This window comes from Homo sapiens, chromosome 21 (genome assembly GCF_000001405.40).
Source record: "Homo sapiens chromosome 21, GRCh38.p14 Primary Assembly".
NCBI lineage: Eukaryota > Metazoa > Chordata > Mammalia > Primates > Hominidae > Homo > Homo sapiens.
In genome coordinates this window covers 44190870-44215439 of record NC_000021.9, presented here as the reverse complement: position 1 = coordinate 44215439, position 24570 = coordinate 44190870, and the positions used below count along the sequence as shown (strand labels likewise).

General features: G+C 53.2%; 2 long non-coding RNA genes across 5 annotated transcripts, besides 18 other annotated features; one reads left to right on the top strand and one right to left on the bottom strand.

Annotated features, from left to right (window-relative positions):
* Window positions 1463-1962: an enhancer, noted in NCBI's record as "H3K4me1 hESC enhancer chr21:45633361-45633860 (GRCh37/hg19 assembly coordinates)". NCBI's record gives its function as "activates a minimal SCP1, AML or CMV promoter by ChIP-STARR-seq in naive H9 embryonic stem cells {active_cell/tissue: H9 hESC(naive)}" and the evidence as "EXISTENCE:reporter gene assay evidence [ECO:0000049][PMID:30033119]".
* Window positions 5319-12494, bottom strand: LOC102725065 (uncharacterized). Its single transcript, XR_937789.3, has 3 exons — window positions 12407-12494; window positions 7221-9322; window positions 5319-6971 (listed from the first exon to the last, which is right to left on the bottom strand). It is a non-coding gene; the product is annotated as an uncharacterized LOC102725065 (long non-coding RNA).
* Window positions 5975-6890: an enhancer, noted in NCBI's record as "H3K4me1 hESC enhancer chr21:45628433-45629348 (GRCh37/hg19 assembly coordinates)". NCBI's record gives its function as "activates a minimal SCP1, AML or CMV promoter by ChIP-STARR-seq in primed H9 embryonic stem cells {active_cell/tissue: H9 hESC(primed)}" and the evidence as "EXISTENCE:reporter gene assay evidence [ECO:0000049][PMID:30033119]".
* Window positions 7036-7536: a transcriptional cis regulatory region, noted in NCBI's record as "chr21:45627787-45628287 region (GRCh37/hg19 assembly coordinates) targeted for CRISPR interference". NCBI's record gives its function as "positively regulates ICOSLG gene expression in anti-CD40- and anti-IgM-stimulated BJAB lymphoma cells {active_cell/tissue: BJAB(+anti-IgM and anti-CD40 for 4hr)}" and the evidence as "EXISTENCE:mutant phenotype evidence [ECO:0000015][PMID:33828297]".
* Window positions 7036-7564: a biological region, named in NCBI's record as "CRISPRi-FlowFISH-validated ICOSLG regulatory elements GRCh37_chr21:45627759-45628259 and GRCh37_chr21:45627787-45628287". NCBI's record gives its function as "regulatory_interactions: ICOSLG".
* Window positions 7064-7564: a transcriptional cis regulatory region, noted in NCBI's record as "chr21:45627759-45628259 region (GRCh37/hg19 assembly coordinates) targeted for CRISPR interference". NCBI's record gives its function as "positively regulates ICOSLG gene expression in GM12878 lymphoblastoid cells {active_cell/tissue: GM12878}" and the evidence as "EXISTENCE:mutant phenotype evidence [ECO:0000015][PMID:33828297]".
* Window positions 7563-8612: a transcriptional cis regulatory region, noted in NCBI's record as "chr21:45626711-45627760 region (GRCh37/hg19 assembly coordinates) targeted for CRISPR interference". NCBI's record gives its function as "positively regulates ICOSLG gene expression in anti-CD40- and anti-IgM-stimulated BJAB lymphoma cells {active_cell/tissue: BJAB(+anti-IgM and anti-CD40 for 4hr)}" and the evidence as "EXISTENCE:mutant phenotype evidence [ECO:0000015][PMID:33828297]".
* Window positions 7563-8935: a biological region, named in NCBI's record as "CDK7 strongly-dependent group 2 enhancer GRCh37_chr21:45626388-45627587". NCBI's record gives its function as "regulatory_interactions: ICOSLG".
* Window positions 7697-8762: a transcriptional cis regulatory region, noted in NCBI's record as "chr21:45626561-45627626 region (GRCh37/hg19 assembly coordinates) targeted for CRISPR interference". NCBI's record gives its function as "positively regulates ICOSLG gene expression in GM12878 lymphoblastoid cells {active_cell/tissue: GM12878}" and the evidence as "EXISTENCE:mutant phenotype evidence [ECO:0000015][PMID:33828297]".
* Window positions 7736-8935: an enhancer, noted in NCBI's record as "CDK7 strongly-dependent group 2 enhancer chr21:45626388-45627587 (GRCh37/hg19 assembly coordinates)". NCBI's record gives its function as "activates an origin of replication core promoter dependent on BRD2, BRD4, P300/CBP, MED14 and CDK7 cofactors, with strong dependence on CDK7, by STARR-seq in HCT116 cells {active_cell/tissue: HCT116}" and the evidence as "EXISTENCE:reporter gene assay evidence [ECO:0000049][PMID:35650434]".
* Window positions 8031-14835, top strand: LOC105372832 (uncharacterized). 4 transcript variants are annotated; one of them, NR_188576.1, is made up of 4 exons: window positions 8031-8237; window positions 8650-8911; window positions 13483-13617; window positions 14425-14835. It is a non-coding gene; the product is annotated as an uncharacterized LOC105372832 (long non-coding RNA). The 4 variants fall into 4 exon arrangements; NR_188575.1 differs by having other exon boundaries at window positions 13483-14835; NR_188574.1 differs by lacking the exons at window positions 13483-13617; window positions 14425-14835 and adding an exon at window positions 12215-13422.
* Window positions 8221-8721: a transcriptional cis regulatory region, noted in NCBI's record as "chr21:45626602-45627102 region (GRCh37/hg19 assembly coordinates) targeted for CRISPR interference". NCBI's record gives its function as "positively regulates ICOSLG gene expression in THP-1 monocytic cells {active_cell/tissue: THP-1}" and the evidence as "EXISTENCE:mutant phenotype evidence [ECO:0000015][PMID:33828297]".
* Window positions 12063-12825: an enhancer, noted in NCBI's record as "H3K27ac-H3K4me1 hESC enhancer chr21:45622498-45623260 (GRCh37/hg19 assembly coordinates)". NCBI's record gives its function as "activates a minimal SCP1, AML or CMV promoter by ChIP-STARR-seq in naive H9 embryonic stem cells {active_cell/tissue: H9 hESC(naive)}" and the evidence as "EXISTENCE:reporter gene assay evidence [ECO:0000049][PMID:30033119]".
* Window positions 12826-13589: an enhancer, noted in NCBI's record as "H3K27ac-H3K4me1 hESC enhancer chr21:45621734-45622497 (GRCh37/hg19 assembly coordinates)". NCBI's record gives its function as "activates a minimal SCP1, AML or CMV promoter by ChIP-STARR-seq in naive H9 embryonic stem cells {active_cell/tissue: H9 hESC(naive)}" and the evidence as "EXISTENCE:reporter gene assay evidence [ECO:0000049][PMID:30033119]".
* Window positions 18199-18377: a silencer, noted in NCBI's record as "fragment chr21:45616946-45617124 (GRCh37/hg19 assembly coordinates)". NCBI's record gives its function as "represses an EF-1alpha promoter that drives an FKBP-Casp9 reporter gene in an ReSE screen in phorbol 12-myristate 13-acetate-treated (for megakaryocytic differentiation) K562 erythroleukemia cells {active_cell/tissue: K562(+PMA)}" and the evidence as "EXISTENCE:reporter gene assay evidence [ECO:0000049][PMID:32094911]".
* Window positions 18754-19254: a transcriptional cis regulatory region, noted in NCBI's record as "chr21:45616069-45616569 region (GRCh37/hg19 assembly coordinates) targeted for CRISPR interference". NCBI's record gives its function as "positively regulates ICOSLG gene expression in GM12878 lymphoblastoid cells {active_cell/tissue: GM12878}" and the evidence as "EXISTENCE:mutant phenotype evidence [ECO:0000015][PMID:33828297]".
* Window positions 18754-19257: a biological region, named in NCBI's record as "CRISPRi-FlowFISH-validated ICOSLG regulatory elements GRCh37_chr21:45616066-45616566 to GRCh37_chr21:45616069-45616569". NCBI's record gives its function as "regulatory_interactions: ICOSLG".
* Window positions 18756-19256: a transcriptional cis regulatory region, noted in NCBI's record as "chr21:45616067-45616567 region (GRCh37/hg19 assembly coordinates) targeted for CRISPR interference". NCBI's record gives its function as "positively regulates ICOSLG gene expression in anti-CD40- and anti-IgM-stimulated BJAB lymphoma cells {active_cell/tissue: BJAB(+anti-IgM and anti-CD40 for 4hr)}" and the evidence as "EXISTENCE:mutant phenotype evidence [ECO:0000015][PMID:33828297]".
* Window positions 18757-19257: a transcriptional cis regulatory region, noted in NCBI's record as "chr21:45616066-45616566 region (GRCh37/hg19 assembly coordinates) targeted for CRISPR interference". NCBI's record gives its function as "positively regulates ICOSLG gene expression in THP-1 monocytic cells {active_cell/tissue: THP-1}" and the evidence as "EXISTENCE:mutant phenotype evidence [ECO:0000015][PMID:33828297]".
* Window positions 18942-19131: an enhancer, noted in NCBI's record as "active region_18563". NCBI's record gives its function as "activates an Ori minimal core promoter by ATAC-STARR-seq in GM12878 lymphoblastoid cells {active_cell/tissue: GM12878}" and the evidence as "EXISTENCE:reporter gene assay evidence [ECO:0000049][PMID:35858748]".

Below are 24570 nucleotides of genomic sequence, written 5' to 3'. Positions count from 1 at the left end.
GCTTCTCTCCAGGCCACAGTCACATGTACAGGCTCAGAATAAACCTCTGTAAAATGTTCTAGAGTCTGTTTTTTCCCATTAACAGCAGTTACGGAAGGGTTGTTTTACCACAAAGGGATCCCAATCCAGACCCCAAGACGGTACTTGGACCTCCTTCCAGAAAGAATTTGGGACGATTTTATAAAGTGAAAGCAAGTTTATTAAGAAAGTAAAGGAATAAGAAAAATGGCCACTCCATAGGCAGAGCAGAAGTATGGGCTACTGGTTGGCTATTTTTACGGTTATTTATTGATTATATGCTAAACAAGGGGTAAATTATTCATGAGCTTTCCGGGAAAGGGGTGGGCAATTCCTGAAACTGAGGGTTCCTCCTTTATTTGTTTTTTGTTTATTTATTTTTTGAGACAGGTCTCACTTTGTCACCCAGGCTGGAGTGCAGCGATGTGATTTCGGCTCATTGCAACCTCCGAATCCCGGGTTCAAAAGATTCTCATGTCTCAGCCTCCCAAGTAGTTGGGATTACAGATGTGCACCACCACACCTGGTTAATTTTTGTATTTTTAGTAGAGATAGGGTTTTTGCCATGTTGACCAGGCTGGTCTCCAAACTCCTGGTCTCAAGTGACCTGCCCATCTCAGCCTCTCAAAGTGTTGGGATTACAGGCGTGAGCCACTGCATCTGGCCATCCTCCCCTTTTTAGACAATATAGGGTAACTTCCTGATGTTGCCATGGCATTTATAAACTGTCGTGGTGCTGGTGAGAGTGTCTCTTAGCATGCTAATACATTATAATCAGCGTATAAAGAGCAGCCACATGGTGAAACCCTGTCTCCTCTACTAAAATACAAAAAATTAGCCAGGCATGGAGGCGTGTGCCTGTAATCCCAGCTACTCGGGAGGCTGAGGCAGGGGAATTGCTAGAACCCAGGAGGCGGAGGTTGCAGTGAGCTGATATCACACCACTGCACTCCAGCCTGGGTGACAGAGCGAGACTAGGTCTCAAAAAAAAAAAAAAAAAAGGCAAGGCGAGGTGACTCACGCCTGTAATCCCAGCACTTTGGGAGGCCGAGGCGGGCGGATCACAAGGTCAGGAGATCAAGACCATCCTGACTAAGACAGTGAAACCCTGTCTCTACTAAAAATACAAAAAAATTAGCCGGGCGTGGTGGCGGGCGCCTGTAGTCCCAGCTACTCAGGAGGCTGAGGCAGGAGAATGGCGTGAACCCGGGAGGCAAAGCTTGCAGTGAGCCGAGATCACGCCGCTGCACTCCAGCCTGGGTGACAGAGCAAGTCTCCGTCTCAATGTTAAAAAAAAAAGGAGCAGTGAGGACGACCAGAGGTCAGTCTTGTCACCATCTTGGTTTTGGTGGGTTTTACCCAGCTTCTTTACCACAACGTGCTTTATTAGTGAGATCTGTGTGACCCGTACCTTGTGCCGACCTCCTGTCTCATCCTGTGACTTAGAATGCCTGACACCCTGGGAATACAGCCCAGTAGGTCTCAGCCTCATTCTACCCAGTGCCTATTTAAGATGGAGTCACTCTGGTTCAAATACCTCTGACAGTGGGGTGGGACCCAGGTACATCTAACATGCAGCCAGCTTATACTCACTCAGAAGAACCATTGTGCTGTGCAAATGGCAGGCCAAAGGAAGTGACCAACAGTTACCTCACGGGAGCAGTCTTATGGCGACAGACAGGGTCCCACCGTGATTTTACTGAAAGGAGCCAGAGGCCCAGGGGGATGGGATGGTCTGGCCAGGGGTTGTGATCCATGGCAATAGCCACGTTGGCCACCACCAGAATGGGTGAGGGGAGACAATCTGGGAAGCCAGGGAGGAAAACGCGGGGTATGCTCACCCCTGGGGCCAACGCTGCACTTGCTGGAGCATGAGGGTCTTCCCCAGGCCTCACCTTGGTGCAGCCCTGCCCAGGTCCCCAGGTGTGGAAACCATTACTAAATATTCAAGAATTTTGCAGCTAGTTGAGAACTAGCTGGAAGCTTACAAATGGCCACAGCAGGAGTATGGAGCATTTACACGACAGAAACTGTGAACTCTAAAATCAGGGCTGCGCTTGGGGTGTGTTTTGTTTGGAACACCTGCTTAGCCGCACCTACCACTCCTTGCTCTCCCATGGCCAGCCCTGAGCCCACAACCTTCTCCAAATTATTTATTTATTTATTTATTGAGACGGAGTCTCGCTCTGTCGCCCAGGCTGAAGTGCACTGGCGTGATCTCGGCTCACAGCAACCTCCGCCTCACGGGTTCAAGTAATTGACCTGCCTCAGCCTCCCGAGTAGCTGGGACTACAGATGCATGCCACCACGCCCAGCTAATTTTTGTATTTTTGGTAGAGACAGGATTTCACTATGTTGGCCAGGCTGGTCTTGAATTCCTGACCTCAGGTGATCCGCCTGCCTTGGCCTCCCAAAGTGCTGGGATTACAGGTGTGAGCCACCACGCCCAGCCCAAATTATTTATTTATTTGGATTTTTGCATTTCCTGTTGAGAAGTTCCACGCTGACAAATGCTGTTTTGTCCAAAAAATCCTCAGGACAAATTGGCCAAGGGCATTTTCCTTAAATAACAATCCTTTATGTGGGGCCCATGGTTTATTTGCAAAATCCATGAATGAATTGTCAGTGTCTTTCTTAGTGACTGTTGGATGACTGTTTTCCAAAGGCCCCACCCACCCTGGACACAGACCCCCATGTCAGCCTCAGCTTCCCCGAGCAGCTGGCCTCACTCCCGGGCTGTCCCCAGGGAAGCCCCCAGAGAGGTGTGTTATATTTTCAAGAAAAGGCCCTCAGCTCCTGAACATGTAACTTTTCTGAATTCAATGACAGTGACTCCTTTTGATAAAGGGAATTTCCGTTCGTTTGTTTTAAAAAAAAATTTTTTAACGGTCTCTATTTTTAACACTCTCAGCTGAAGCCCCAAGGTTGGCTTCATGAGGCCCAGGGTCCAGGACATCTCCTTTCCCATGAAACTGTTCTGCTGAAGCACCTGGGGGGTGGGGGGGCTTTGTATTCATTCATTCATCCCACATTCACTCACTCATTCATCCCACATTCACTCACTCATTCATTCATCCCACATTCACTCATTCATTCATCCCAAATCACACATTCATTCATTCATCCCACATTCACTCACTCATTCATCCCACATTCACCCACTCATTCATTCATCTCACATTCAGTCATTCCTTCAACACACATTCCCTCATTCATCACACAGTCACTCGTTCATTCAGCCCACATTCACTCACTCATTAATTCATCCCACATTCACTCACTCATTCATTCGTCCCACATTCACTCACCCATTCATTTCAGTCACTCACTCATTCATTCATCCCACATTCACTCAACCATTCAGCTCAGTCACTCACTCATTCATTCATCCCACATTCACTCACTCATTCATCCAAAATTCACTCATTCATTCATTCATCCCACATTCACGCACCCATTCATCCCACATTCACCCACCCACTCATCCATTCATCTCACATTCACTCACTCATCCATCCCACATTCACTCACTCATTCTTTCGGCCCACATTCACTCACTCATTCATCCCACATTCACTCAGCCCACATTCACTTACTCACACATTCATCACACATTCACTCACTCATTCGTCCCACATTCACTCAGCCCACATTCTCTCACTCACACATTCATCACACATTCACTAGCTCATTCATTCATCCCATATTCACTCACTTTTCACTCATCCCACATTCATTCACAGGCATCCATCCATCCATTCCACATTCATGTGTCCCTGACAGATGTCAGGTGTCAGGTGGTGGGACCTGTTCCAGGAATTGGAGACAGAGGGCAAGCCATGCAGAAGGCAGGTAAACCAGACAGTGTTGGAGTGACCTGGGCTCTGGGAGAGAATCAAACAGGGGACTTATCAAACTGTGAGTGTTAGGGAGGCTTCTGAGGAGGTGACATTTGTCAAACCTATGACCTTGTGTCCTGTATCCTTCCATCCATTCATCCCTCCCTCCCTCCTTCCCTTCATCTATCCATCCATCCCTCCATCCATCCATCCCTCATCTCTCCATCCATCCATCCTTCCCTCCTGTCCATCCCTCCCTCCCTCCCTCCATCCATCCATCCCTCCCTCCCATCCACCCCCTCCCTCCCTCCATCCATCCCTAGCTCCCTACCTCCATCCATCCATCCCTCCATCCATCCATCCATTCCTCCTTCCCTACCTCCATCCATCCATCCCTCCCTCCCTACCTCCATCCATCCATCCCTCCATCCATCCATCCATTCCTCCCTCCCTACCTCCATCCATCCATCCCTCCCTCCATCCATCCATTCCTCCCTCCCTCCATCCTTCTATCCCTCCATCCTTCCCTTCCATCCATCCATTCCTCCATCCCTCCATCCATCCCTCCCTCCATTCTTCCCTCCCGTCCATCCTTCCCTACCTCTTGTCCATCCCTCCCTCTCTCCCTCCCTCCATTCATCCATTCCTCCCTCCCTTCATCCATCCATCCCTCCTCCTTCCATCCTTCCATCTATCCATCCCTCCCACCCACCCATCCCTCCCTCCGTCATCCCTCCCTCCATCCCTCCATCCCTCCATTCCTGTATCCCTCCCTCCTTCCCTCCATTCATCCATCCAGCCAGCCAACCATCTATCCTTTTGTTTGCTCCTGTCCTGGGTGCCGGGAATGTGTGGCCTGCAGTATTTACACCCCTTGCTGTGGCACCATGCCTAGCTGGAGAGACAGACACATGTAAGTCACCAGTCATCTCCCCAAGGGGTGGGCCTGGGGCTGACGGAGAAACCCAGAATGTTCTTCCACAGTAGGTGGGGAATGCCAGCTGAGCAGGGGACTCAAGAGAGAGGTTGGGGGAGCAGGGCCTCTCCATGCAGAAATCTTACCCATGGTGGGTAGGAACTTCCAAAGGTGAAGGACAGTGGGCTTCTCTTCAGGTTGATGGATTACTTTTTAAAATCATAACATAAGTCAGGCATGGTGGCTCATGCCTGTAGTCCCAGCTACTCAGGAGGCAGAGGCAGGAGGATCACTTGAGCCCAGGAGTTTGAGAGCAGCCTGAGCAATATAGCAAGACATGTCTTTAAAATAAAATAAAATAATAACATCAAGTTGTCCCTCGGTATCCTTTGAGGATTAGTCCCAGGACCCCTGCAGATACTGAAGTCCCCAGAATAAAATGGCGCAGTGTCTGCCTAGCACCTGTGCCCACCCTCCCGCACATCTTCCTGCATCCTGCAAACCATTGCTAGATCACTTATCAGACCTAACACAACACAATGCTCTGTCAATAGCTATACTGTATTTTTTATTTGTGTTCTTTTTTATTGCTGTATTGTTCTTTTTTTCATTTTTCTTTTTCAAATATTTTGCATCTGGCTTGGTTGCCTCCAGGGATGTGGAACCCTTGGGTCTGGAGGGACAGCTGGTCTCTCAATTGGTGAAAATATTCCCTTAACCTGGAGAATACTTTTGCCACTTTTGCTCAGTCTGCTCCTGGATCCGGTCTGTGTCATTTTGCCCGGATCCTGGGCCCGCTCCCAAGGAGGGCTCCCCCAGCTGCAGGGGTGAGGGCCTGTGCTGTGTGGGCGCATGGCTTATCTGCCAGCGACCCATGATTGTTCCCTGGGGCTCTGCCACCCCCAGCTGACTCCTCTACACAGCTCCTGATGCCTTGGGCAGGCCATGTTGGGGGGGTGTATCCCAGAAAGGCATTGTGTGGGGTGCTGGTATCGCTAGGGGCCTGGGGTCCCCGGTCCCCTCTGTGACTTTCATGAGCAGAATGGAGGTACCCAGTCTCTCCTCATGTCACCACACCCCGCTATCAGGAAGGGACAGGGTCTCAGGTTCCTAGTGTTCCCAGGACCTGCCTGCCGGAGGGCTGCAGCTGAACTGCTGTTAGCGTGGGTGGCTCTGAATCAATGGCCCATTTTTCTGTGCAGTGTGTTGGGGGCAGCCTGAGCCTCTCACTCAGGTTGAACAGGAGCTTGGGGAACCCTCTTCCAGACCCTGAAGGGGTCCTGCTCTGTGTCCTGACCAACACTCATAGGGTCTGCTCTGTGGTCCTGACCTCACTCAGGCCCTGCTCTATAGCAAAGAAGCAAGCTAGACCTTTCTCCTTTGATGTGGAGACGGGAAAAAACAAGTTTTAGAATAACATGCCCAGAATGACCCCAACTAGGAACAATCGACTGTAGGACTGGGAGGATTTGAACATGTGCAAGCAAAAGGAGGCACCAGAGGGCTGTTCAGATGGATAACTGTGCAGGTGGGCATCCGTGCGGGTGGGCATCCATGCAGGTGGACATTCACGCAGGTAGGCCTTTGTACAGGTGGGCATCCGTGCAGGTGGGCATCTGTGCAGGTGGGTATTCGTGCATGTGGACACAGGTGGGCATTCATGCAGGTGGACATCTGTGCAGGCGGACATTTTTGCAGGTGGGCATTTGTGTGGGTGGGCTTCTGTGCAGGTGGGCATTTGTGCCAGTGGACACGGGTGCAGGTGGGCATTTGTGCCAGTGGACATGGGTGCAGGTGGGCTTTCAGGCAAGTGGGTATTCATGCAGGTAGGCATCTGTGCAGGTGGATATCAGTGCAGATGGGCATTTGCATGTGGACATCTGTACAGGTGGACATTGGTACAAGTGGGCACTCATGCAGGTGGGCACTCATGCAGGTGGGCATCTGTGCAGGTGGACATCCATTAGCTGTCACCCTTCTACCCACCATCCACATCCTGAGGATCCAGGGCCTCCTTCCTTGCAATATGTCCCCCACTGTCACCTCAACAGGTAAGGCAGGTCCTTACCACCTGCCTCTGCCTGCCCTCCAGGTCAGCCTCCCAAGGTTGGGCCTTCTTCTTGCCTCAGACTCACTTGCTTTGCAGCAGTGTGGCTATGTTATGGGCCCACATCCGAAATCCACACAGCCCACACCACCTGCAGGACAAGGGCAGCCAGTTAAGCTTGTACAGTCAGTCAGGGCTCACTGCTCCCTCCCTGGCCCTCCCTTGCCCTCTGAGAGGCCCTTTTCTTACCCACCCAGGTGTCCATCCACCTGCCCTGGGGTCCCCTCCCCTCCTGTACCCTTGCAGCTCCCATGAGCCTCAGCCCCCTCCAAGCCCGTCTCCCTAGCAAAACCTTCCCTGAGACTCTAGCCCTTCCCTTTCTGCTGTGATAGGATCTTACCACATCTGCAGAAGATTTAGTGCCTCCCGGCCCTGAGGCCCCGATGAATCACCCAGGCCTGGGTTCTTCCTGCGGACGGAAGACACTGACGGAGGCTGCGGGGCCTGCTTCCCTGAGAACTTGCACATTGACATCCTCCTCCTTGGTGGCTCCTTCCAAACACAACAAACGTGCAGGCCCAGAAGGACAGGCAGGATGGCGATGTGGGGGCAGGGAGGGCTGAGAGCAGCTGCCCCCAGGGAGGGAGAGGGCCAGAGAGAGTGACCGGAGGGACACAGACATGGACACGTCCCCACCATCGCCGGGGCTGGAAAGGAACAACCCAAAATGTCTCTGGACTTTGTCGAGTATCCCCTGGGGTTTCAAATGGCCTGGGGGTGAGAAGCTCTGGTCCAGGCAAAGTTGTGTCCCTGGACAATGACTGTGTCCAAATCATACCCCCCGCCCGGGGTCTGAGTCATCCAGTCGTGCCACGGTGGTGGCTCTTCTGCATGTGGACCAGAGACACCTGTTTTCCCTGATGCCCAAGACAGTGTTAGCGATGAACAAATGAATGAACAAACGCTGCAGAGGGGAGGCCTCCCTCAGCCTGGGGCTGCTTGCCCACCTTCCCCGTGTGTCCTCCTGCCCCCAGCCCTGGAGGGAGCCCACAGTCTCACTTCGGAAAACCCCTCCAGAAAGCCCGGGACAGAGCAGGTGTGTGGTTCAGCTCGAGGAGGAAACCGGAAGCGGCCATGAACCCACGCCTGGGCAGCCACCTGGAAACGTGGTCAGATGTGACCTCTTCACAGACTCGGGGGTGCTGGGCTCTGAGCAGAAGCGGCCGGGTGGTCCTCCTGGGTGCCTCAGGGGCCCGGGGAGCATGGGTCAGGGCGAGTGGCTGCTCCCTGGCCTCAGGTTATCTGGGTGCCCGGTGAGTGAGGCATGGCAGGCGATACCGGACCCCACCCACCGCGTATACCTCTGGAATAGCGATTGCCATGATTGATGTCAGTAGCCTGGGCTGGGAGCCTGCAGGTGGGTGTGAGGGGGTGGAAGGAGCTGGTGTGAGAGGAAGTAGGGCAAGCGGGGGCTGGGAACTGGTTTGGGAACAACCGCAGCCTGGTCAGCAGGACCCACAGGGCCTGGACAGGGGCTGGAGCTGACCGCTGGCTGACCGGCTTTGCTGCAGCCACGTTCCTGCAGGGGACACAGACCCACCCACATTAGAAAAGTGACCCCTGCACCCCCAGTCAGCCTCCCGGAACGGCTGTCACCACTGTTTCCTGATTCGCTGGTGCATGTCTCCCCCACGGGGCACACATGCGTGGCCTTAGGCCTGAACAGAGCTGCTCACAGCACCCACTTCCCTTTCGGTTTTAAAGCTGCTGTGCCCGGGGGAGGGAAGCCTTCCCCCAATGGGTGTTCTTATTTATTTTCTTAATCACAGGTAATCAGAACTGCGAAGATGATTGGGTCACAGCCAGGAGACTGATTTTGTATCCAGAAGTTTCTGTTTCACAATCACTAAACTACTCATGCTCAAAGATTAGTGTCAACAAGAAATAAACAGACTCTGATACCGATATAAAATGAACGCGCGTTCAAGATTTCCTTCAACTCATTGTTAGCGCAGAAACCGGTAAGATGTGCCAGCCAGGTCAAAGGAGAAGTGACAAAGGCACCTGTGTACGCGGAGTAAAGGGATACAGGTACGCTTCACATACGAGGACTGGCTCTCCCACGGACGGGCGGGCGGTGGGAACTCGTGGGCAGCCGCGGGCAGAGCCCATCTGCATGCTGTCCAGGCAGTCCAGACTGTCCAGGCTGCTGCAACAGAGGACCACAGGCGGGGCCTAGAAACCGCAGATGTTTGTCCTCGCACATTTCTGGAGGCCAGAGTCCAGCATCAAGGCGTCGGCAGGACTGGCTCCTTCTGGGAACTCGGAGAGAATCCGGTCCAGCCTCAGCCCCTTCTGGCACAGCCGGCAGCCCTGGTGTCCCCCGATCAAGGCCGCGGTGCTCCAGTCTCCGACTCCGTCCTCCTGTGGTTTGCCTCTGCGGACCCCAAATCTCCCTCTCGTTCCTTCCACACGGGTGCTAGTGTCGGATTCAGGGTCCATCTGCATAACCCAGGATGACCTCGTCTCAAGAGCCTTAATTTGTCTGGGCACGGTGACTCACGCCTGCAATCCCAGCACTTTGGGAGGCCAAGGCAGGCAGGTTGCCTGAGGTCAGGAGTTTAAGACCAGCCTGGCCAGCATAGTGAAACCCCATCTCTACTAAAAATACAAAAATTAGCTGGGTGTGGTGGTGGGTGCCTGTAATCCCAGCTACTTGGGAGGCTGAGGCAGGAGAATTGCTTGAACCCAGGAGGCAGAGGTTGCAGTGAGCCGAGATCGTGCCACTGCACTCCAGCCTGGGCAACAAGAGTGAGACTCCGCCTAAAAAAAAAAAAATAAAACAAAAAACAAAACAAAAAAACAAAAAAAAAGCCTTAATCTAATGACGCATCTACAAACACCCTATTTCCAAATAAGCTCAACCCCATAGGCATGAGGGTCGGGACTTACACATAGCTTTTGGGGGCCACTGTCAACCCACTACACGTGGCTATAAGCAAGAGTTATCTGCATTGCTCTCTGTTATCTGTAATGTACAGATTGGAAAATCGCTCAAAGGCAGCGCGAGGCTAAAATCAGAAAACCCAGAAGGGAGATGGCTCCCACTGCAGGCACCCAGTCCTCCTTCAGGCTCGGCTGCGTGTTCCAGACATGCTCACACTCACTTCTCAGGGTCATTCCAAGGCTCCCAGAATGGCCGCTGTGTTTTTTTGTTTTTTTTTTTTTTGAGACGGAGTCTTGGTCTGTCGCCCAGGCTGGAGTGCAGTGGTGCGGTCTCGGCTCCCTGCAACCTCCACCCCTGCAGGTTTAAGCAATTCTCTGCCTCAGCCTCCGGAGTAGCTGGGATTACAGGCACAGGCCACCACGCCGGCTAATTTTTTTGTATTTTTAGTAGAGACAGGGTTTCACCATCTTGGCCAGGCTGGTCTTGAACTCCTGACCTCATGATCCACCCACCTTGGCCTCCCAAAGTGCTGGGATTACAGGCGTGAGCCGCCTGGCCCGCTGTATCTTTTTACGCCCACCCGTCCCTGGGGGCTGCAGGCACAGGCCCTGGGGGCCTGGTCAGTGCTGTTTGGGCAGGGGGAATCCTGGACCTGGAAAGGGGAGGGGTCTGGAGCACAGAGGAGCCAGGTGAGGGAGGCCTCCAGGTGCAGGCAGGGTGGAGCCTGGGATGGAGTGATGCAAGAGCCCGCTCCACTCCGCCAGCACCCAACAGCTCTTCCCTTTCTCTCCCAGGCCTCCTGCCTTCCCTCTTCCCTGGTCTTCCCTTCAACACCAAGACTGCAGGCATCACCCCCACCCTAAGAGCCCAAGCAACCACCGACGCCCCATCCCCTTCCCCTCCCCCTATCCCCTCCCCTCTCCCCCTCGGTCCCTTTTTCCCATGGGCGCTGGAGCTTGCAGGGCAGCTGTACCCGTGGCTCCCTCTCCAAATGCTCCCCTAACGCACGCCCTTCTCACTTCCATCGGGCTCTGCTCAGAGAGACCTACCAATGTCCAGCACCCATGGCCGCAATACTGCGTGAGCTGAGACCCCCCTGCAGCCATCCCCATCTGCACCACAGGTACTCAGCAGACAATGGCTGCAGGTGGGCGAGGGCACCCTCACCATCCACCTCAAGTGCAGACCTGCCAGCCTCACGCTCAGCCCTTGGGCCTGGCTGGGGAAGTGTCTAGGGCACAGATCCTGGCACAGGGCAGGCCCCTCCTCCACATTTCACAGATGGCAGATGAATGAGGAGGAGGGGAAGGAGGGGGTGAGCAGCCCATTGCCAAAAGCCCGTGGGAAATAGGGATCCTGGGGGAGATCCTGGCTCACGGAGATCAGAGGGGCGGGGCCACCAAGGAAGGGTGTGGGGGGGAGGCAGCTGCTGCTCATGGAAGGCAGCCGGATGGAGGTAGCGGGGTCAGGCAGAACAGGCCTGAAGAGAGGGGCATAGGGTAGGGACATCAAAGGAAGAGGCAGCGGTTGCCCTGGCCAGGGCCCACAGCAGGTGCGGGCATGGCTCTGGGCTGGCTCACCTGGCCCCCCCGACACCCTCCCTGCAGAGCCCCCGCCCACAGCTGCTCCACAGGGGGTACCAGTGGGTGTCAACCCCTGGCAGCGGGGACACCAGGCCTCTCTGAGCTGATATGGGGGGTGCAGGGGCAGCCCTGGAGTCCCAGCGGGCTGTGCCCTCTGTCCTGGCCTCATCCCTGTGAAACTGCCTTTGCAAAAATTGTAACAGCCATTATTCCGGAGGTCACACAATTTGCAACTTCCCCAATTACTCCTGAGGATGAATCACTATTGTAGACGCTAAGATCGGCCTTTTGAGGTGTCTTTTCAGGTTTTTGCATTTCTGACAATGATGGCTCCACCTGGATTTGGACACACCAACCCCCCTGCCCGCCACAAACGGGTCCTGTGGCCCCACCCAGAAGCAGACTCCCTGGCCTGCCAAACTATCCTTGAAAAACCCGAGCCTGAGAATTTTGGGGGAGATGATTGATTTGAGTAATAACTCCGTCTCTTGGGGGAGATTGATTTGAGTAATAACTCCATCTCCCACGTGGCATGGCCAGCCTGGTGTCTATTAAACTCTTTATAGCAATGCCTTGGGCCCAGTGAAGAGGTTTTGTCTGTGCAGGGGCAGGAAGAGCCCATCAGGCGGTTACACCTGGAGGCCCAGCCCTGAGCCTCCCGCCTTCTCCAGCGTCTGCAGAAGCTGACCCAGAGCCTCTGCTTCGGGATTCCTGGGCTGTGGTCAGGGTGGGTCTGGGGACTCCCGTGCTGCGGGGCTCCTGGTCTGCTCCCCAGAGGCTGTGGGCAGAAGCTGAGACCTCTGAAGAAATCCTAGGGATTTTCAGGAAACCAGTGCATGTTTTCTCTTCTCTAACCATGCACAGGGGACACAGAAAGCCCCAAAGATCGGGGCCACTGCGATTCGTTTTCCAGAGAAGGACGCTCCGAGTTTGCACTCTGACCGCACTGATGGGGCCCTGTTCCTCCGGTGTCCATGGCTCCCAGCAAAGCAGACCAGCACCGCCCCCACGCACACCTAGGCCCAGCCCAGCCCCAACACCGGCTGCCGAGCTCACCATGATGAGGGCTAATGGCTCTGGGCATCGGCCTGCAAGCATTTACTGAGCACCTACTGTATGCTCAGTGCCCACAGGCCGAGAGGCAACGAAGACAAAGTCTCTGTCCTTAGTTCAGGGAAGCCACTCCCAGGCAGGGTTCTAGGAAAGAAAGAGCCCCGGGCTGCATCCGCACTTCTCTGGGCTCCAACAGGATGTGGTTGCATCATCTCCTGGAGGAACGGATTTGCCTTGAAACGCAGGAGGCAGAGCGGGCCTGGGAGAAGGAGGTTGTTTCCACGCCTTCCTGGGGGAGAGGCTGGTGCAGTCGTGAGAGTCAACCGGGAGCTCGGAGGAGGAGCAGACAGGACGTGGGAGAGCTCGGGAGAGACCCAGGCTGGGCGTCTTGCAGCTCAGACCCTTGGCCACCCAAGCAGCGTAGCCGGCATCACAGCCCACGGCGTGAGGCCACCAAGACAGACAGAGGAGGTGAGGGGGACCCGGACTGGGCCAGCCACACGTGGAGGTCGTGGAGGAAGCAGGCATCTATGCGGAATCTCGGCCGCCCAGTCTGCCTTGTCCACAGAGAGGTGCCTGTCCGCTGCTTCGAGCGTGTGCCGACGTCTCCCGAATGTGTCCCCTTTCTCTTCTTCCTTGGGATTTCCTAACGTCTGACGATCCCAGCTTGCGTTGGCCCCCTGTGCTGTGGCCCCACGACGTTTTGTCCAGCTTGATCAGAGCAGAAAGGGGACCTGGTGGGCAGCCCAAGGGGCAGGAAACTTCCGGGTGGATTCCAGCACAGCCCCAGCCCTGCCGGGGTCTTCATGCCAAACCCCTGGTCGGCCAGGCTTGAAGCTGGGCTGTGGAGCCACAGTCCTGGCCTACAGGCAGGTGCTTAAGTCACTCAGGCCACTATGACACAGTTCCACAGCCTGGGCAGCCTACATAACAGACATGTACCTCTCACAGTTCCAGAGGCTGGACGTCCACAGTGAGACACTGTCTCTAAAAAATAAATAAATAAAAAATAAACAAAAGGCCAGGAAAAACGTAAGGTAGTATCAAAAATGTAATGTGTCAATCTCTTTTCATGACAGGCTACAACTGAAAACACCAGTCATATTACCAAGGCTGTGACCGAAATCGTGTCTCTGAGAATGTGCCTCAAGCGTTCCAAGCCTGGCCGGCCGCGCTGGCTCACGCCTATCATCCCAGCACTTTGGGAGGCTGAGGTGGGAAGATCACCTGGTGTCAGGAGTTTGAGACCAGCCTGGCCAACATGGTGAAACCCCATCTCTACTAAAAATACTAAAATTAGCTGGGCGTGGTGACAGCCGCCTGTAATCCCAGCTACCTGGGAGGCTGAGACAGGAGAACCGCTTGAACCCGGGAGGCAGAGGTTGAAGTGAGCCAACATCGCGCCATTGCGCTCCAGCCTGGGCAACAAGATCAAAACTCCATCCCCCCTCCAAATAAAAAGAAAGTTCCCAGCCTTACAGCGAGAGTAAATAAAAACTGTCACCATCTGGCAGGCCCAGGAACCTCAGGGCTATCGGTCAAATCTAAAGCCTGCCTTGGTTTGGCTTCTTAGCCTCAAGAGGCCATTAAATCTGAGATTCCCATCTGATCAACATAGGGAGAAAAGCTTATGTTTCTAAAGAAAAGCTGTAGGCCTGGGTGCAGTGCCTCACGCCTGTAATCCCAACACTTTGGGAGGCTGAGGTAGGAGGATCACTTGAGCCCAGGAGTTCGAGACCAGCCTGGGCAAAATAGAGAGACCCTTATCTCTATACTTTTTGAAAAAGGAAAAGAAAAGCTATAATACATCTGTTAGGAGATTGTAGCTCTGGGCATTGTATTTGAGCTCTTATATCTACCTACAGACTAGACTAGATCCTAAATTCTTCTAGATTCCTTCAGTCAAAATTTCTTCCATGGAATTACTAAAAATAAAAACTGCTCTGTTCCTAAATCCCTATAAACTGAAACTAGATGAATTTTAAGGAACAAGTCTCATATCTGACATATGGGCCCCACAGGAGTTCACCAAACCATCCAATGCCATAACCACAGACATTTCACCTGCAAACCAGGCAGAGAAGCTGGCGTTTTCACACTGTAGCCAGGGCTTCCAGTTCATCGGGACGAGATTCTGTATCAGAGACGCCCTCCCTCTTACCGTCTACCTGCTCGTGCCACAGGATCATGGTCATTTAGTTCATTCAACTGGTGATCTTAAGCCTAGGTTTGTAGCTCAAAACTGTTATGCAAACTGGGATTTTCATATTACTATTAATTTTACTTTGTATTTTCCCTTTTTAAACTTTGTGCCTGTTACTTGTTAAATTTCTGCAGATGTACACCTCCTAACTGAACAATGCTGGACCGGCTCTTTGAGATGATAGCAAAGACTATGAAACAAATAAAACTGAAATTAATAATGGACTCCAGGTAGACTCAGCCTGAGAGACATTCCTTTCAAATCTCTCTTGTTCAAATGTGGCTAAAGGTTTTGCCACTGACTTCTAGCTGCTAATCACTTCCCTCCACTGTGGGACAAGACCAGCAACCGCAGGACACCACATCCCAGCACCAACAAGGGACAATCAAAACCTAACAATAGAATAATTGATCAGTGATTCTTTCAAAGAAAGACCTTGGTAAAAAGGGGACAATGAGAAAGTTATCAGAATTAAAATGGAGTCACTTCTGTTAAAAAAAAAAAAAAAAGCCTCTGACAAATAGGCTGGGCGCAGTGGCTCACGCCTGTAATACCAGCGCTTTGGGAGGCCGAGGTGGGTGGATCATGAGGTCAGGAGTTTGAGACCAGCCTGGCCAATATGGTGAAACACCGTATCTACTAAAAATACAAAAATTAGCCGGGCATGGTGGCACCTGTAGTCCTGGCTACTCGGGCGGCTGGGGCAGAAGAGTCCCTTGAATCTGGGAGGCAGAGGATGCAATGAGCTGAGATCATGCCACTGCACTCCAGCCCGGGCGACATATACTCTGACAAATAGCGCTGGGGGAGGCCATAAAGGGAGGGTTCTCCTGCATGAATTACTGATAGCAAGAGCTATTGATACGGCTCCAATGACTGGAGGAACATCACGGTCCTTGGTCCTCCGCCGATTTAGATAAAACGACATGGACACATGTGGAGTGGTTTTAAGGAGCAGAAAGTTTAATAGGCAAGGAAGAAGGAATAAAGAATAAAACAGCTCCCCTATACAGAGACGCAGTGGGGCTCAGAGCAAAGAGGCCCCGCATGCCGCAGAAGGGCATTCCACGATAGCGGGAGGCTGGAGGAGGCGGTGTCTGGTTTGCATAGGGGGCAGGGAATTGGTTTGACCGGGTGTATCATTCACGTAGTCCATGAGAAACCTGGCCCTCCCACCTTAGTCCTTTAATATGCAAATGTGGGTTGCCATGACGTTTTGAACACATGGTGTTATGTGGGGGCGGCCATGACACCTGGCACACCTGTCGACAAGAAGATGTGGGAATCGCCATGTTGGGTAGACCCAGTGTCTATTTGCCGGCGTTTGCATATCAAAGCTTGCTGGTCTGGCTCTTTAAGCCGCCTTTCTGTTAGTTTCCACCTAGAACCTTTACCCTATCCAGCTGCCTAAAAATTATTTCTTTTTTTTCTTTTTTTTAAAGACACAGTCTCACTCTTGTCCCCCAGGCTGGAGTGCAATGGCGTGATCTTGACTCACTGCAACCTCCGCCTCCCGGGTTCAAGCGATTCTCCTGCCTCAGCTTCCGGAGTAGCTGGGATTACAGGCACCCGCCACCACGCCCGGCTAATTTTTGTATTTTTAGTAGAGATGGGGTTTCACCATGTTGGCCAGGCTGGTCTCGAACTCCTGATCTCAGGTGATCTGCCTGCCTTGGCCTCCCAAAGTGCTGGGATTACAGGCGTGCGCCACCGCACCCGGCATAAAAATTATTTCTTAATAACTCTTGTATTACTATCACAAAATACTGAGAAACCACAACGCTGTATGAAGTCCACTGCAACCATGGACAGAAAATACTGTGAGGACATCTGCCCAGCAACTGCGGTCCAACCCTGGACTGGCACCCCCCGCCGCTGATGCTTGTAGACAAGGGGAATCGCCTCAAAACAACGGTGTGATCCTCGTTTTCCCTTTAAAAGCCTTTTTCTCCCTTTACCTCCCTGAACACACACAGTCTACCACCGCACGTGTGTTCCGACTGCAACGCCCTATTTTTGAATAAATGTCGTTTTCTTTCACAGAGCCTCTCTGTTATCTAAGTTGACAAATGTAATCATAGCACAACAGTGGTCTCTGTTGTAATCCATATTTATTCAATTTCAACGGCATACACACTGTGGAGTAAAAGCCATGACAAGGAGGCAGGGCGTGGGGCTCATGCCTGTAATCGCAGCACTTTGGGAGGCCAAGGTGGGTGGATCACTTGAGGACAGGAGTTCGAGACCAGCCTGGCCAACATGGTGAAACCCCGTCTCTACCAAAAATACAAAAATTAGCTGGGCATGGTGGCGCGCATCTGTAATCCCAGCTACATAGGAGGCTGAGGCAAGGGAATTGCTTGAAGCCAGGAAGCAGAGGGCGCGGCGAGGCTGAGACTGTGCCATTGCACTCCAGCATGGGCGACAGAGTGAGACTCCATTTCCAAAAGAAAAATCATGGCCGGGCATGGTGGCTCACACCTGTAATCCCAGCACTTTGGGAGGCTGAGGCAGGCGGATCACGAGGTCAGGAGATCGAGACTATCCTGGCTAACAGGGTGAAACCCCATCTCTACTAAAAATATGAAAAAATTAGCCGGGCATGGTGGCGGGCGCCTGTAGTCCCAGCTACTCGGGAGGCTGAGGCGGGAGAATGGTGTGAACCCGGGAGGCGGAGCTTGCAGTGAGCCGAGGTTGTGCCACTGCACTCCAGCCTGGGCGACAGAGCGAGACTCCGTCTCAAAAAAAAAAAAAAAAGAAAAAAGAAAAAAGAAAAATCATGACATTGAGAGGATTGGGGGAGGAAATGTGGTTGTAAAAGGGTTAAAATGTAACCATTTGTCGCAGGAAGCCAACGCATAAAGTCTAAAATGATAAACCAAGAAGCTGAGCGTGGACCCATTTTCCGTTCTGCTGCAGTGCTCCCTCCCCTCCCCGAGTCCTCGGTGGGCTGGCAGACGGGGCTCTGCCGTGGCCGACTCTTGGGGTCCCTGCAGTAAATCCAAGCGCCTCCAAGGACATCCGAGTGACCAGGGACTGGTGAGTTTTCTTTGAGTTGTAGGGCTGTGGCGGGCTGCCTAGAGGCCCCCGACATGGGCTCATTCTCCCTCCTTCTTCTCCGCCAAGAGAAGAGCCGTGATCCCCAGGAGGAATCCTGTGTGGAGTGTCTGTCTGGAGTTGGATCAGACAGTGATCCAGGGATTTCTTCTTCTTTGAACAGTGATGGCCCAAGGCCAATCCTTTCCTACAGAATCAGCCTTCCCAGTGTTGCCACGGTGGACGGCCTGAATTTATCATACGTGGCTCTTGCTGGTGACATTGCCACGTGTGGGAACTACTGTACATCAGATGCCTGCCCCAGCAGCCTGGCCGGTCTCAGAGCGAGACATGCTGCTCACCAGCCCTCCCGGTACCTCAGGGGCCAGAAGTGGACAATCGGCCCTGCGCCTGGACCGGCCATCCCTGGGCGGCAGGCCAGGACCTCCTCCACCAGGCCCGCATGCCGCTGGGACCATACATGAAGGGAAGGTCCCAGGAGGTGACGCTGTCGGAGCCGATGGCCTTGAGACTGGTGCCGGGCTGCAGAGAGAAACGCGTCCTCGGCAGACCTCGTCAGCGCTGACACAGACGCTTCATCATGGGAGCCTCGGCCACAGCTGTGCCCTAGGTGGTGATTATGAGAAGACCAATTCTAGGAAATTTGAGGAAGGAACAGCAAGTTCTCTTGATTAAACTATGAATGAATTTTAAAAGTCTGTAATCGGACAGTTTTCTTCCTTGGACGTTTCTGTGACTCTGGGAGCTGACTATATGGCTTCAAACCAACCCTGAGCCTCTACCCCAGGACAGAACGCAGGGCTCCCGGGTGAGTGCACCGAGCTGAAGGACCTGAGAGCGGTCCATTGCCAGGTGGCTCCATTAGGGGCATCTCACCTGAGGCTGCCTCCAGGGTAAGGCTCGGCCTCAGGGATGGAGAGTGGTGCTCACACTGGGGGCCCTGGATTCTATGGGCAGCAAAGCCGTGTGTGCTACATGAACAGGCCCAGCCAAGAGGTCCCCACCCACTCTGCATGACCGGGATCAGCTCATCGGTGCTTCAGGGCAGGATGACCCCACCTGCTCCCTGACAGACAGGTCTGGCCGTGGGTGATAAACCTGTGTAGGCTTCCAAGGCCTCAGCAGTGCATGTGTCTTGCTCCTGGAGGGGCCAGAGGAACAGGTGCTCTGTGTCCCTACCAGTAGGATGAGGACCGTCTCGGACAAACGTCCCTCAAGGCCTGTGTCCTCCCACCAGGAAGCCACAGACAAGGCTGAAGCTGGGCCTCCCACAGCCAAAGAGGAGCTGTCCTGGGACTGAAAAGAGGAAGCAAGCCCAGATCTCCACACCTCCCGCCCCGACTCTGGCGTCACTGAGGTGCCTGCCCCCGTGTCACGGCTGTGGCTGTTGTGCTGATGCAATCTCAACAGCAGAGAAGCACGCACATCCTGCAGGCCCACGTGGGCCCCCGACCTGGCAGATGGGGCCCTGGGAGACCAGCCCAGAGTGCCACTAGTGCCCTCCAGCCAGGCTCCAGCCACCCATCTCTTAGAACAGGGCCCTGCTCTCAGCACCAGGGGCATCTTTGTCCTGGGGCCATCCTGTGTGGTTAGGGTATTGAGCCGCACCCCGGCCTCCACCCTCCAGGTGCCCGTGGCACCTCTGCCCCAAGTCATGACAACCAAACATGTCTCCAGACACTGCCAGTGTCCCCTGAGGGGTAAAATTGCCCCTGGTTGAAAACGACCACTTTAGAATTGACATTTACTAACCCATCACCGTCAAATCTAAGGTTGAAAGGTGTGTGCATAAACACAGGGACCGAAATTCTCAACAAATGCCGTAAGTTGGCAAAATCACAGGTAGTTGAAATTCCTAATTATATCTTTATTACCAGTGGAGAGAAGCTCCCCTAGGAAGTGTCAGATCCCACGGGGACGCCTCACAGTTTCTCATTATTGATCACGATCTACGTAACCAGAGCTCTGTTTTGAATGGGATTTTAGCGCGGTCGGTAGAGTTTTAGACAAGACCGCTTTTGCTAATGGAAATGTTGGTTCTAAAATTTTATCCTGGAAGTTGGATCTTTCTTGCACCTATTTTTGGAAAATCTGCTCTCTTGATTTTTGTGGGTGTGTGAATGTGTATTCTATGAATCTTTTATAAGATGGTGTTGAATGTCCCAGATCATAAATAAGGTGTTTACGCCACTTCTGTGAGTGGATCAGGACCAGACAGCCAGGTTTTATTTCTATTTGGCCACCAAGAGCACCCATTCCATGAAAGCCAACTCGTGGCTCCTTCTTGACAGAGGCATCTTACAAAAAAAAAAAAAAATGAAGGACGGCTCAACAATCACTGTTAGACTCGATTAAAAAGAAATATCTAAGAGCAAATCTGCTTGAGGCTCGTGACATTCCTTGGCAGGGCGGGGGCTTCCCAGCTGGAGCCATCCCATTTCTCAGAGGGGGTCTCTGGCTCTCAGACAAACTCAGGATGTGCACAGGCATTGGTCAGGGCCGGGAAGGCCATCACTCAAGACGACGTCTGTCCCAAGAGTACATGCGAGATTTTAATATTTGTTTTACAGGCCATTGTGGTTTACTCTTGTTTCCTAGGAGGAAGCATCAGGAATGGTAACAATTGAACCAAATCACGAACCGTGAAGAACAACACTCTAAGGGAATCTTGTGTTCTGGAAAAAAAAAAAAAAATGTGCAACTTTGGTTTTCCTGGCTCCATATGGTCAGCAACACTGCCCTTGGTGGGTGCCCATGACCCATGAAGCCCTTCCCAGCTCTCCCAGCTGTGAGCCAGACACTGGCCCAGTGGGGAGCACTGATGGCTTTGGGAAGGAGGGCCCACCCTGTCCCTGACGTTCAGCGAGCACAGTCCTTGTGACCCGGTGCGTCCTCCTTGTGTTGGGGTCCCCCCACCAGCTCAGCTCAGACTCAGGCTGCAAAGCACCATGCATGGCTTTGGTCTCCTCTTCTGGGAACCCCTGAACCCCAGTGCGGTGGGCTTCTCCTCCCCACCCGGCGCAGATCCCAGCCCAGTCACCCAGACCCCAGCTCTCAGCCTCTTCCTGGAGCAGCTGCCCTGCCCCACGGGAAGCGGCCTGGAGCCCAGATGCACAGCCTGGACCAGTGTGTTGCCTCTGCAACTGCTAGCAGGAACATGATGTCGAAACACCCTCCATGACACGATCCAAATGGCCCTCTTACTCTCTTAAGTAGCAAAATAAATACCAGCATCAAGGTTCTGGATGGAGACCACTTCATTTGCTCACATATTTTTGCAAGCCGTTTATTAGGATACCGCTTAAATAATTACTTCTTGTTTTTATTTGGCTTTTCTTAAACATGGTCTTGTTAGGTGAGGTTTCATAACCACCACACAACTGTCTTTGTTCTCACGCTGCTGGAGCGTGTTTTATGGGCATTGTGATAATAGCTGTAGTTTCCAACGGTTGCAGTAGCTGACTAGTCAGTGGCTTCAGCAACACACATTTATTCTCCTATAGCCCTGGAGGTCAGAAGCTCCGATCCAGGTGTTGGCTGGGTTCCACTCCTCCTGGAGGCGCTAGGGGAGGATCTGTGTCCCTCTTACCATTTCTAGGATCCGCTGCACCCCTTGGCTCAGGCCTCTCTTCCATCTTCAAAGTCAGCAGCCTCTCCTCCCCTCTGACCTTGGCTTCCTCTGCCCGACTCTGACCCCTTGCCTTCCTCTTACAAGGACCCTGTGATGACCTGGCGCCCACCCAGCTAATCCAGGGAGGAGAAGAGAATACTGAGCGTCTTTTCGTTGTAAGCTTTTCAGATTTCTTTGGTTTTTGTTCTTTTAAACTGAGTGACACATGGATGTATGGATGGACGGATGAATTGAGACAAGATCTTGCTCTGTCATCCCAGCTGGAGTGCGGTGATGTGATCACGGCTTCCTGCAGACTCGACCTGCTGGGCTCAAGTGATCTTCCCATCTCAGCCTCCCGGGTAGTTGAGACCACAGCCCCGTGCCATCACACCATGGCTAATTTTTTATTTTTACTTCTATAGAGATGGGGTCTTGCTATGTTGCCCAGGCTGGTCTGGAACTCCTGGGCTCAAGTCATCCTCTGGCCTTGGCCTCCCAAAGTGCTGGGATTACAGGCATGAGCCAGCACGCCCAGCTTGCCTGTATTTTTAAAACAGATAATGGTGGCTATCAAATCACTGGGGTTTTGAATACATTTAAAAGAGTGACTTCATGGTTATTTCTTACATATTGGTTTTATAATATATCAGAAGTTATATCCTTTGCAACTACTTAAACTTACGATGAGAAATTTTAGTTGTTAGAGACTGAATGTGCACATGGACAGCGGCCAGCCCAGCTATAAAAATGGAACTCCACCCCACATCTGCAGCACCCAGCCCAGGAGGCCTCCCCCCTGCCCCCATAACCAGCCCGGGAGGTCGCCCTCATCCCTGGTAAGCAGCCCAGAGGCCGCCTGCTGTGTTGAGTCATAGGAAGGGAGACTGTCATCTCCAGAGAGCATCCAGGAAGCTAAACAACAGCTCCTGTTACCATCAGCTCCAAACAGCTGGGACTGGATTAATACATCAAATGACAAATGTAATTCACTCATTAATTAGCTTCCCTAATTTTTGCTCCCACTTTTTTTTTTTTTTTTTTTTGAGACAGAATCTTGCTCTGTTGCCCAGGCTGGGGTGCAGTGGCGTGATCTCGGCTCACTGCAACCTCTGCCTCACAGGTTCAAGCAATTCTCTAGCCTCAGCCTCCCGAGTAGCAGGGATTACAGGTGCCTGGCACCACGCATGGCTATTTTTTGTGTATTTTTATTAGAGATGGGGTTTCACCGTGTTGGCCAGCCTGTTTTCAAACTCCTGACCTCAAGTAATCCACCGGCCTTGGCCTCCCAAAGTGTTAGGATTACAGGCGTGAACCACCGCACCCGGCTTCGCTTTAAACTTAGGACCAACCAGAGAAAGCCACTGTGCAGCCCTCACCAATCCCATAGGAACCCTGCTGTCTGGTGATCCACCCCCACGCCTGGCCGCCTGCCTTCCCAGGGCACACCTGTGCCTCCGCTCTCCCACTCCGAAGCTTCCCCTCCCTGCCTGCCTTTGCATCTCTGCCAAACACAGAGGCCAGCACCAGGGACCTCTGCCCAGACCCACCCCGCTCCACCAGCCCGAGCTGTGTATCCCTGCCCTCATCCTATCACATGACACCCTTGGGTGGGGACCCCCGTGTGCTCATGCACGGTGGCGGGGGGGTGTCTATTTTCAGCTGTGTGTCCAGGGAAGAAGGGTCGCCTCCCATTACAAAGGCCTGAGGTCCCTCCCTGGCCCCTAGATGTCCAGAGAGAGCCCAGAGCCTAAAGCCCTGAGATGTGAACTGTGTCCTGTGTCCTGAAGCCACTCAGTCACAAGTGAGACCCAGAATGACTCACCATCAGAGCAGGCAGGGAAAGCCAGCCAGACAGCCCAGCAGGGAGCAGCCCCAGCCCCTGGGGTCTGGGGGACTGGCCGAGTGGTGGCCTCCTGGCCCAGAGGCAGCCCAAGGCCCTACAGAGGAGGACTTAGGATAGTGCTGGGAAGCCCCATCAGACTTTCTGGCTCATCACACCTCGTCCTGAGGGAAGAAGGACAAACAGCATGCAGCCTTTTGAAATAACACCATTGTCCCTCATCTCCATCCTGATGCCTCAAATCACAGAGCTTCTTGTGTGCTCTACAATGGCACTCCCCAGCCTTTTGGGCACCAGGACAGTTCCATGGAGAACAATTTTTCCATGGATGCAGGTAGGGGGATGGTTTTGGGATGAAACTGTTCTATCTCAGATCATCAGGCATTAGATTCTCATAAGGAGCACACAATTGAGATCCCTCCCCTGCGCCCCTATGAGACTCTAATGTGGCCGCTGATCTGACAGGAGGTGGTGCTCAGGCTGGAATGCTCACTGCTCCCCATCCTCACCTCCTGCTGTGCGGCTCCGTTCTTAACAGGCCACAGACCAGTAGTGGTTTGAGGCCCGGGGGTTGGGAACCCCTGATGTGTAAGTACCAGGTGGGTGGGGGTCCTCCTGACTTGTAGGTGCCCAATGTGGGCCAGGCTCAGCTCGACCTGGGTGTACACAGCCCACGCCAGCCCCCACCCAGCCCCACCTTGTCTGGGTCCCTTGGGGCCAATGTGCACCAAGGACATGGAGGGCCCTGTGCCACTGATGGGACAGCAGTGGAATCAGACTAACAGTGGTCCTCTCAGCAGAAACTTTACAAGCCAGAAGAGATTGGGGGCCAATATTCAACATTCTTAAAGAAAATAATTTCCAACCCAGAATTTCATATCCAGCCAAATTGAGCTTCACAAGCAAAGGAGAAATAAGATCCCTCTTATTGGGGCCCTGCGTCCCAACATGGTGGAGGACTACCTAGGCTCGGGGGAGAGAAGACAGGAAGGGCAGCTGAGAGTGCCACACACACCCCATCACACGTGCACTGCAGACCCCCTCACACATGTGAGCACAGGGCATAAGCACGGCCTGAGTCTATGGATGGAGGGAGGCTCCCAGGCCCAGAGCACACAGCAAGCCAGGTCCCAAGGCCAGTAGACAAGAGGCTCCTGGCCTGGATGACGAACACAGAGATGTGTGCCCATGTGACGCCATGGGATAGGGCCACCGTGGCCAGAGGACAGGAGCGAGGACGGTGTTGCCGGCTGGACGGACAGACAGGCAGAGGGAGGCCAGGCAGAAGGAGCCGGCTGGGTAGCCTCTAAACCGCTAGGAATGGGTAGAGTCCATGAGCAGCAACGATGCAGGATTCCCACAATCCTTCCATTTTCCAAGTTAGTATTGAGCCTGCTAGGAGCTGAGGATAAGGCAGCACATAAGGTAAGTTTCCAAGGGTCAAATTTCCATCT